This window comes from Homo sapiens, chromosome 6, assembly GCF_000001405.40.
Source record: "Homo sapiens chromosome 6, GRCh38.p14 Primary Assembly".
Lineage (NCBI taxonomy): Eukaryota > Metazoa > Chordata > Mammalia > Primates > Hominidae > Homo > Homo sapiens.
The window spans coordinates 63,220,219-63,231,030 of record NC_000006.12 but is presented as its reverse complement, the minus strand read 5'-3'; the positions used below and the strand labels follow the sequence as shown (position 1 = coordinate 63,231,030).

Genomic DNA, 10,812 nt, shown 5'->3' with positions numbered 1-10,812 from the left:
GGCTGGGCCATGACCACCTGAATGACCTGAGGAATGGTCTCAGGCAAATTTGTAAAAAGTGGAGACCCTGCCTGCCAGGGAGGCATGTGGTAAGAGGCGCATCCAGTCAGGTCAGGGCACCGCGTCCTCTCTTTGGAAACCTGCGGAGCAAGGCTGGTGGCCCTTGAGGCCACGGCAGCCATGGAGAAGGCGGGCCTGGCTCCAGGCAGCACAGAGGCACTGGAGAGGCCCAGGGGGAGCCTGGCGGGATCTGGCTGGTCCTGCGCTCTGCTTCCAGGTTCTGGCCCTGTAACCCGGGGGACAGGGCCGGCCAAGACAGGGCCACTGGGTGCTAGCCAGGACCTGGACCAGGCACCAGGCAGAAGGGCTCTGGCGGATCAGCCCCACACCTCCAACAGCCCCACAGGGGGGCCCATCCAGGGCCACACACCTGCCCCCAGGAGCAGGACGTCCCTGAGGCTAGAGTCCAGCTGGATCGGTGGAAAGGTCTCACCCTTTGCCCTTTGACTCCTCTTGTAGGCACCCTCGCTGGGCTCCTAAGCACTCCTCCACACCCTGGCTCTGTCACCAGCCCCATGGTGATGTCATAAACTCCCAGATGCCCAGTGTGCACCCGGCCACATAGAAGTGGGTGACTTAGGAGTATCCTCTCCACTTCTGACCCTTAGTTTCGTCTGTGCACAACTTGCTCAAAATGGGCAACTCACTAAGTGTATTTTGTTCCTGGTTCCACCGCAGGTCCTGGCCATGCCATCAGCAACCTGCTCGTCTTGTCCGTGAGGCCTTCCCAGCTGGCCGGGCTCACCCTGCTGCTCCTGCACCTGTGCCTGCCCCGGGAATCTTGGGCCGTTTCCCACTCCTCTTCAACCGTCAGTGACATCTTGGGCCTTCTTTTCCAGTCAGGTGGGACGGCGCCCCTATGAGGCTGAGTCTTATCCCTCGGAACACGGGCACCCCACAGAGGGTCCTGCCTCCTGTGGTCTGGAGCTCCCCCTCAAGGAAGAAACCCTTGCTGTCTGCTTGCAACTCCATGATGTTTGGACACCTCAGCCCCGTGAGGATCCCTTATCTCAGAGGCAAGTTTAACCTTCAACTTCCTTCATTAGTTGAGCAGGTGATCCCAGCCAGGCTCCCGAAGACAGAGGTGAGGGCAGAAGAGCCCAAAGAAGCAACGAAGGTGAAATACCAAGTAGAGACCCAGGGGCAGAAGGACAATAAAAGGGGCCCCTGTAGCAATGGGGAAGCAGCCTTCACCTCTGGGCCCCTGGAGACTCAGGGAAACCTCACTTCCTCCTGGTACAATCCCAGGCCCTTGGAGGGAAATGTCCACCTCAACAGCTTGGCAGAAAAGAACCAGACTGACAAGGCCCAGGTGTATGCAGTGAGTTTCTACTCCAAGGGCCATGGAGTCTCCAGTTCACACAGCCCTGCTGGAGGCATCCTTCCCTTTGGGAAGCCTGACCCACTTCCAACAGTGGTCCCTGCCCCAGTTCCGGGCTGCTCCCTGTGGCCAGAGAAGGCGGCCTTGAAGGTGCTGGGTAAAGACCACCTGCCCAGCTCTCCATGCTTGCTGATGCTGGGGGAGGACATGCAGCCCAAGGATCCTGCAGCTCTTGGATCAAGTAGGTCTTCTCCACCCAGAGCTGTCAGCCACAGGTCCTGCAAAAGAAAACTGTCGGGGCCACCGCTGCAGCTGCAACCGACCCCTCCCCTGCAACTGAGGTGGGATAGAGATGAGGGGCCCCCACCGGCTAAGCTTCCATGTCTATCTCCTGAGGCACTGTTGGTGGGTCAGGCTTCCCAAAGAGAAGGACGCCTCCAGCAGGGCAACATGCATAAGAACAGGAGGGTGTTAAGTAGAACATCAAAATTCAGGAGACTAAGACAGCTGCTTAGGAGGAGAAAGAAGAGACGGCAGGGCAGGCGTGGTGGCTCACGCCTGTAATCCAGCACTTTGGGAGGCCCAGGCAGGTGGATCAGGAGGTCAAGAGATTGAGACCTGAGGAGAATCTCTGCCTGCACCATCTGGGAAGTGAGGAGCGCCTCTGCCTGGCTGCTCCACCATCAGGGAAGTGAGGAGTGCCTCTGCCCAGCTGCCCCACCGTCTTGGAAGTGAGGAGTGCCTCTGCCCAGCTGCTCCACCGTCTGGGAAGTGAGGAGCACCTCTGCCTGGCCACTGCACCTCTGGGCAGTGAGGAGCGCCTCTGCCCGTCCCCCACCCTGTCTGGGAAGTGACGAGCGCCTCTGCCCAGCCGCCTCACAGTCTGGGAAGTGAGGAGCGCCTCTGCCTGGGCCCTGCCCCATCTGGGCAGTGAGGAGTGCCTCTGCCAGGCTGCCGCCCTGTCTGGGAAGTGAGGAGCGCCTCTGCCCAGCTGCCGTCCTGTCTGCGAAGCGAGGAGTGCCTCTGCCCAGCCCCCTTACACTCTGGGAAGTGAGGAGTGTTTCTGCCTGGCCACTGCCCTGTCTGGAAAGTGAGGAGCGCCTCTGCCCAGCTGCCCACCATCTGGGAATTGAGGAGGAGCACCGCCTCTGCCCAGCCTCCACCCCTTCTGGGAAGTGAGGAGCACCTCTGCCTGGCCGCCTCACGGTATGGGAAGTGAGGAGCACCTCTGCCCAGCCGCCACCCTGTCTGGGAAGTAAGGAGCGCCTCTGCCTTGCCGCCGTCCTGTCTGTGAAGTGAGGAGTGCCTCTGCCTGGCCTCCTCACCGTCTGGGAAATGAGGAGCGCCTCTGCCTCATCGCCGTCCTGTCTGTGAAGTGAAGAGTGCCTCTGCCTGGCCTCCTCACTCTCTGGGAAATGAGGAGTGCCTCTGCCTGGCCACCATCCCATCTGGGAAGTGAGGAGTGCTTCTGCCCAGTCGCCGCCCTGTCTGGAAAGTGAGGAGCACCTCTGCCCAGCCCCCTCACCATTTGTAAGGGAGGAGCGTTTCTGCCCAGCCCCCGCACCATCTGGGAAGTGAGGAGCGCCTCTGCCCGCCTGCTTTGCAACCTTCGAAGTGTGAAGTGACAGCCTTGTGTGTTATCTTTCTGCCTTCCCCAAGTTTGCATTTTCAACATTAAAGTTTACTTTTTAATTAAAAAAAAGGAGATCGAGATCATTCTGGCCAACATGGTGAAACTCCGTCTCTACTGAAAATACAAAAATTAGGCGGGCATGGTGGCTTGTGCCTGTAGTCCCAGCTACTCAGGAGGCTGAGGCAGGAGAATGGCTTGAACCTGGGAGGTGGAGATTGCAGTGAGCCGAGATCGCACCACTGCACTCCAGCCTGGTGACAGAGCAAGACTCCGTCCTGAAACGATGTTGTAGTTGACAGCAGGATGGTCTTTTGGGACAGGAGGAACAAGAGGTTGTGGTTGCCACTCTTCAATCAGTTCTTCTTTTTCCTTGACTGTAAGATCAGATCGTTCCTGTAATTTGTAAGTCTTAGAGAAAAGAAGTCTGATTATCCAGAGTAACAGAATCCCTTCCAAAATAAGATGGTAAGCAGGAGCCTCCTAAAGCGCCTGTACCATCCCCACCAGAACCCACTGCTCCGTGGAGGTCGCCATAGTTAACCGCTTCCTTCCGGAAGGTGGGTCACAAGCACCTTGACTTTTATAACAATGATATTTTTTAAGAGTACAGGTCTCTCCATCCACCCTTTATTTTAAAATAGAATATTTCACAATTTAGGTTTGACTAACGTTTCCTCATGAATAGACTCAGATTATGCATTCCCTTTTGAAATATAGCAAAAGTGAGGTTGTATGCTTCCTAAGGCACCACAACTGTGTCCATTTTTGATGTTCATTTGTGATATTCATTCTGATTATCTACTTAGTGCCTTGTGTGATTTCTCAATTATGTAGTTCTTTCTTTTGCAACTAATAAGCAACGTGCAGACAGACATTTTAAGATCATATAAACATCTTGCTCGCCCCTTAGTGATAATTGCATTAGAGTCCCTTCACCCAAACCCACCTTTCTCTGAGATTTTATTCATTTGAAATACACTTGGATTCATTTATTTGTTTTAGTTTCATTTTATTTGCTTTCAGTTTTAGTCCCCTCACCTATTTCTTATTCTTGTTGATTTTTTTTAACATACAGATGATTGATATATTTCTAAAAGTTAAGGCTCTGAAAGGCATTTACAAAAATGTGTCAGTCTCAACTATAACCCTTCTGCCCGCTTCCCACCTGCCCCTTGTAGGAAACAACATTATAGTTTTCTGATTTATCCTTTCAGTGTTTTCTTTTTGTAGAGATGGGCGCATATATTTGTATTTTTATATTTTCCTTTCCTTCTTAAAAGGTAGATAGCATATGCTGTTTTGTACTTTTTTCACTTCACAGTATCTTCTGGAAAACATTTTATATAATATCTTATTTTTTTTGTTAGTGTGCTAAGTGAAATTTAATTGCCAATGAAAATTTTAAGAGTAGCATTATGAGACAGCAAGAAATGACCTTCATTCCAGGTAAAACAGAGGCATCATTTAATTTATTCATTGAGTTCATAGTGCTTAAGAGAGACTCTCGGATTCCTGGTTAGACAGAGCTTGGTACAGCACTTTTTAACCATCTTCTGTTGGGAGGTTACAATGCTTAAAATGAAAACCCAAAACCAAAAAAAAAAAAAAAAACCAGTCCATGTGTTTACCAAGATGATGTTTCAATTATTCAAATAAAATATTCAGTTTCAACATGTCAACACATGTGTGTTCATAAGTTTTCTTTAAAATTATACAATTCATGCTATTTGGATTTATCTTCATTTTTCATTTAAATGCGCTGGTTTCTTCATACTTTTGTCATTTCAAATTGCTTGAGTGTAGCTCTGTGAGTCATTACAAATACATAGTACTTCACCCGTGAAGGGTGAGTATAATGTTTTTGCTCTCATAAACCATGTGGTGTGGGGGGAGGGGGGAGGGATAGCATTAGAAGATATACCTAATGCTAAATGATGAGTTAATGGGTGCAGCACACCAACACGGCACATGTATACATATGTAACAAACCTGCACGTTATGCACCTGTACCATAAAACTTAAAGTATAATAATAATAAAATTTAAAAAAATGTGGTTCAGGTTTTGAAAGCTTTTTTTTTTAAAAGGAAAGTAAAAGGTTCCTTACAAGTAACCTACTCTATTTATTTTATTAGGATTCAATGCAAACAAATAATTCATACATATTATCTTTGGGTTCTTGAAGTAAAATTGAATAATCACCTAAATTATTTAGTTTTTCCAGTCCAGGGAATAAAAAGTTATGTTCAATATAAATGTTAGACTTAAAAATTTTAACACCAATTAATACAATATCAAAATTTATCTTAAACCATTATTTCTCAGAGCTAGAACTGACATGGTTTGCATTACTGACTTTTCAGTTGTAGGTGATGTATTGTAGATTCCTTGAATTCCTCTAGCATGTAATGATAGAAAGAACACTGGACCAAAAGTCTAATAGTTCGGATCATAGTCTTGGCTCTGAATGATTTGACCATTTGATCTTGTTGGAAGATCTGAATATTATCTAGTCTAGTTCTTTAATTTATGGATTTCACTATGAGAATTAAACAAAAATGAGAGTGCTGACTCTCATTTAAAATTAAAAAATGGAGGTTGGTGACTTTCTCTTTTGCCAAAAAGGCATTAAAATATGTTGCTAGTAACTACAACGAGTGTTCCATAAAAGAAAGAGTATTTTAACACACACACACACACACACACACACACACACACACACATGAATTCACTAATACAGAGCAAATAACAGTACAGTACTTCAGGCTGAATAAATATAGTTTTCATGAATCACTAGAGAGTGTGGTGGAAGAAGATAAAATTCTTTTCTTTTTATCCCCATCTTTCCTTCTTGATTTTATTCCCAACAGAAAAGAAAGGCATTTTTAAAGACAGATAATTTATTAACATAATAATACCCTGAACTACTCTAGGAGAGGCAATTGATATAGCCAAAAATTTTTGTTTGTCTTATAAAAACCTCAATTTGAAGACCCTAACTTCCCTCAGAGACATACACTAGGGACCTCACAAAATACCTTCAGTGAGGAACTGGAAAACTGGAAGAAGTGCAGAGAAGAAGAAAAGGTCAAGAAGGTCCTGAGGGACAGGATAATTGAGGAAGCAAGAAGTGCAGAGGAAAGTGAGTACAGAAAGAGGGAAATTTATGGATGCTGAGGCAGACACTAAGTTGACTGAATCTTGGGTCTGGGTGTAGGTAAATAAACCATTTGGAATAAGTACATGGTATTTGTTTCATACTGAGGTATACTTCTGAGAAATGGATTGCACATGATTCATGTCTAGGATGTTATGGGCATAAATTAAGTAGCACAACATTTATTTTTTAACGTTTTTCTTCTAGTTGAAAACTTGTGAAGAACTAGCACTTTGTAAAGTTAGAATTTTATGTTTCCACGTTTTCTCCCCTGCTTCAAATGTCCATCTTTCCTTCTTCATCTAGGTAATTTCTATTTATTTGTCATGATTCATCACAAACAGTAAGTCCTCCAAAATACATCTTAGCTTCTCTTTAGAAATTTGATGCCCTTTGTCTATGTGGTCACAGCACCTTTGTCATTTTTTAGCTTATTATACTGAATAACACCTGTCTTATTTGTTTGTCATCTACTCATCTATAAAGTTCCTGACACTCAGAACTGTATTTTAACTATCTTTCACTTCATTTCTTAGTGTTGAGTAAAAAAGTGCTATTCTACGTTTATGAGTCTTTATCTCGGATTTCCCCTACCTAGAATTCTATTCTACTTGTCTGCTAGGAAATTTTCAATTATTTTCTTTAACTTTCTCTGTGCTAACTTTCTCCATGAAGCCTTTCTTGACCTTTTCTCTCACTGCAGCAGATTTAGTCATTTCACCATCTCTCTTAATTTTGTATCTATACTAAAATATAGTTTTCAAAATGATAAAATTATGTGTCTCAAAAATATAAAATATTTTATTTAACTCATCAACTAATGAGTAAATTAGTAAGATGTTATAACCACTTCAAATGAGAATTTAACTAATGGAGATTTACGTATCTACTCAACAAATTCATTTGCATTACCATAAACAGGAGCCAATTGCATTACTGTGACAAAGAATATCTGTGTCACCATTACTTTTCTGTAGGTTAACTTCCATCTCTACAGAGCTATAGAATATTCTAGTCAAAGACAATGAAAGATGCAGATCCTTATAAAATTAAGACAACCTTCAGCATTCTACTGAAAGAACATCCAATAATTTTTTTTTTTGCCTTATGGAAGTCATTTACTTTTTTTCTTGACACTTATAATAGTCCATTATTAAATTTTCATCCTTTTGAAATTATTTTCATATTTCCCCTATACCTTCCTGCCACATTGTACCCTTCGGAAAGGGACTTGACCATAAACTCTTCTCTGGGCTGCATAAATAATCTCTCATTTTCCCCTTCTATTTAATTGACACCAGCTACAACAAAGAAGGCCAGTTAATTAGCAAGTTAAAAAAAAAGTGTGAGTAACTTTTAGAATCTGTGAGAAAGCACTGGAGAAATGAAACTGGAAGAATTAGTTGATAATTCTTGCCTTCTGTTTTTCCAGTGTTTTATTTAATCCCCAAGTGCTTTCAGATAGTTTAAGCTCATTTCTTTAGATTGAGAGAGAATGGAGGATCCTGAAAGGACTTGGGAACATGAATGAAGATAATTAGAGGTGATGGTGACAAAAGGAATAGTAAATACAGGAACTCACTTTTAGTGATTCCATCAAACGACAGCTTCTTCACAAGGCAGTTTTGTTTTACTTTGGTTTGAGGGTGGACCATTATCAACATCCTATAAGAAGAGAGGTTAAGTGACATGTGAAAGACCATACAGAAATTAAGTGGCAGACTAGGGATTAAATCCAGCACAATCAGATTCTCAGTTCCTAAAAACTAAAAAATTAAAAATTAAAAATTCAGCCTGGGAGCAGCTGTAGCACAGGAAAGTTTGCACCAGGATAGGCTGTGATGTTTTGGTGTTTGAGTCTGTACTCAGCCAGAAGTTCTTAGTAGATATGCAGAGGCTGGATCTGTGAAATATTTTACCAGTCAACTCAGTAAAACTAATCATACAACCCGGAAAATACTCATCCACATGGTAGATGTTGAGTTATAAACAGTCGTCCTCATATTTGGTGAGCTCTATTATTTTCTGTACCAATGGGGATGAGAAAGGGGGTGGGCAGCAACATTCATAATTTAGAATACCAGATCATTTAAACACACTAATGTGTGTTCTTAAATGTTCTTTTGAAATTATTTGAATATATATGTGGCAGGTATTTCAGAGCTCTTTTTTCAATAATAATATTATATAGTGCTTATTCAGTTCTGGGTATATTCTAGGTATTTTTATATTGTGAAGTCATTTTATCCTCTAAACAACCTCGTGTTTGGTATTATACTATTTTATGGATGAGGAAGTTGAGGCACAAATGTTGAAGTTGGGATTCAAACTCATGTAATCAGTTTCCAAGAACACATGCCCATCACTGTAAAGCTACCTCATGGTGAGACTACGCTCAGTAATACCAATTCACAGGTGATGAGAATGCCCTGTTTCCTCCATGAAATTATACTTTTATCCTCACCTTGTAACTCACACTTAGCCTGGAATAAGGTTATTTGTTCTATAGCATATGTAGGTTTTGTTCTTTTTGTACTTTCCCTGGGTAGATAAGAAAACTGGGTTTAGAAGATTCACAGTCAATAGGATTTGAGATGTTAAGATAATGACAGTAAATGGAAGAGAAATTACAAACAGTAAGATCAAATTAGTTTCTTTAGTAAGTGCCAATTCAACTAACTGGAAGCAAATATAAGGAAAATGTAGTTAATAGGATAGCATAGCTGTACAACTGAATATTGGTGATTTTAAAGATGAGCTACACAGTATAAATAATAGAAAGAGGGAGTGAGCTTTAAGAATTTAACAAAATTCTGTATAGCATCACATCTGGGCTATAATTATTACTTGTGTGACCTTGAGCACACTAATTAGCCACTGTAAGCTTCATTTTCCTCACCTGTAAAATGGAGATACTACCAACTTACCTTAAAGGGACAATTGAAATAATGTTTGTTAAAATGCATAGTATAGGTCTGGCATATGACAAATTAAGTGCTCAATCTGTGCTAGTTAGTGATTATAAATTACTCCAAGACGTTCTTTACAGAATGTTTTTAGTGGCAGTGTTTCTCAGCTACTAAAAAATATCTTTGAGGATAGAGGATTTTTTACTTTATAGTCATATAGAAATGTGTATGCAGAAATCTTGAAATTGAAGCAACCCTTGAAGTGAGATCCAACTTGACTGTGGTGGAAAAGTAATTCAATAAAGCCAGAATGAGTTGTGATATGGTTCATACAGAGCATTGTTATCTGCTGCTAATCATATGACAGGACACAGTACAGGGCCAGTGGCAAAAGCAGACAAAATTCATATTTAACTTTCCTTTCACATCTCATAAAATTTCCCTTCAATCAATGAAATAAAACATTTATAAGTGCTTTTATTTTTTAAAAAAATACTTCAAATTCTACCAAATAATTCAGAAAAAATATCTGCTTTTATTTTACGAGTGTTTTTTTATTGTCCATGACAATACAGAAATAAATTCCGCAAGTAAGTTTACTCTTTGTTTTCTGTCATTTTTAGGCCTAATATAATTCATGATTGGGGATAAATTATCCATTCAATACTTGATTTAATCCAAAAGCTGAATTTTCAGCTGAATAGTTGGCATGCAAAATAATTGGGGCTACAGCATTTCTAAGCTGATTTCTTTAGTAATTTTAGTGATTCATGTGGATCTTTAGTATTTTGAGACATGGATTCAGTTTAGGATCTATTTTTAAGATTTTATTTAAGCTTCCTGTTTTTGGAGTGTGTTTTCCTTATAGCACAATTATGTTCTTATTTTAGTTCCCACTGGAAAAATTTAAAGTGATGGTTAGTCTTTCCAAGGAAGTATAAATATATATGTAATTGCATTCTGAGGAAACATTTTCTAAGTAGAAGAATTTGGTACTTATTGCTTTCAGGTTTGTGAGGGTCCTGGGCCAATATTGTGGCTATTGTTACTTTTTGTTGTTGTTTTCAAACTAGATTGACTGTGAAGTTCAAAGAAGTAAAAGTAAAGCTTTGATGGAAATTGCATAGTATAATTCTATACTGTTTTATACAGCATTTAAATTATTGCAGTTCATAAAAAAAGATGAAAAATTTCAGAATTTGCTTTGTGAAATAATCTTAAAAACCAAATACGATAAAAATGGGAAAACAAAAATTTTCATAAATATAGCTAGATCATAGACCAAAATTTTCATAAATATAAATCCAAAAAAGGAAGAGAATGCCACAATGTTAGAACTAAAAGCCATTTGAGAGAAAATTACATTCAACTTCAACTTCCAAGTAGCAAATGAGACAAGTGTGGCTCAGTGAAATTAAGTGGCTGGTGGAAAATGATGCAGTCAGTTAACCAACATGATGCATCATCATGAAGAATTAAAAAATTAGCCAGGCACGGTGTCTTGAGTCTGTGATCCTAGTACTTTGGAAGGCCGAGTTGGGCGGATCACTGGAGCTCAGGAGTTCAAGACGAGCCTGGCCACCATGGTGAACCCTGTCTCTAAAAATTAGCTGAGTGTGGTGGTGGGCGCCTGTAGTCCCAACTACTAGGGAGGCCGAGGCAGGAGAATCGCTTGAACCCAGGAGGTGGAGGAGCCGAGATCGTACCACTGTACTCTGGCCTGGGTGATAGAG

The 10,812-nt window shown here is 41.8% G+C and overlaps 2 pseudogenes; one reads left to right on the top strand and one right to left on the bottom strand.

The window, feature by feature from the left end:
• The first annotated feature begins 719 nt into the window (after positions 1-719).
• Positions 720-1,947, top strand: LOC100128610 (putative UPF0607 protein ENSP00000383144 pseudogene; annotated as a pseudogene).
• Positions 3,289-3,584, bottom strand: SPTLC1P3 (serine palmitoyltransferase long chain base subunit 1 pseudogene 3; annotated as a pseudogene).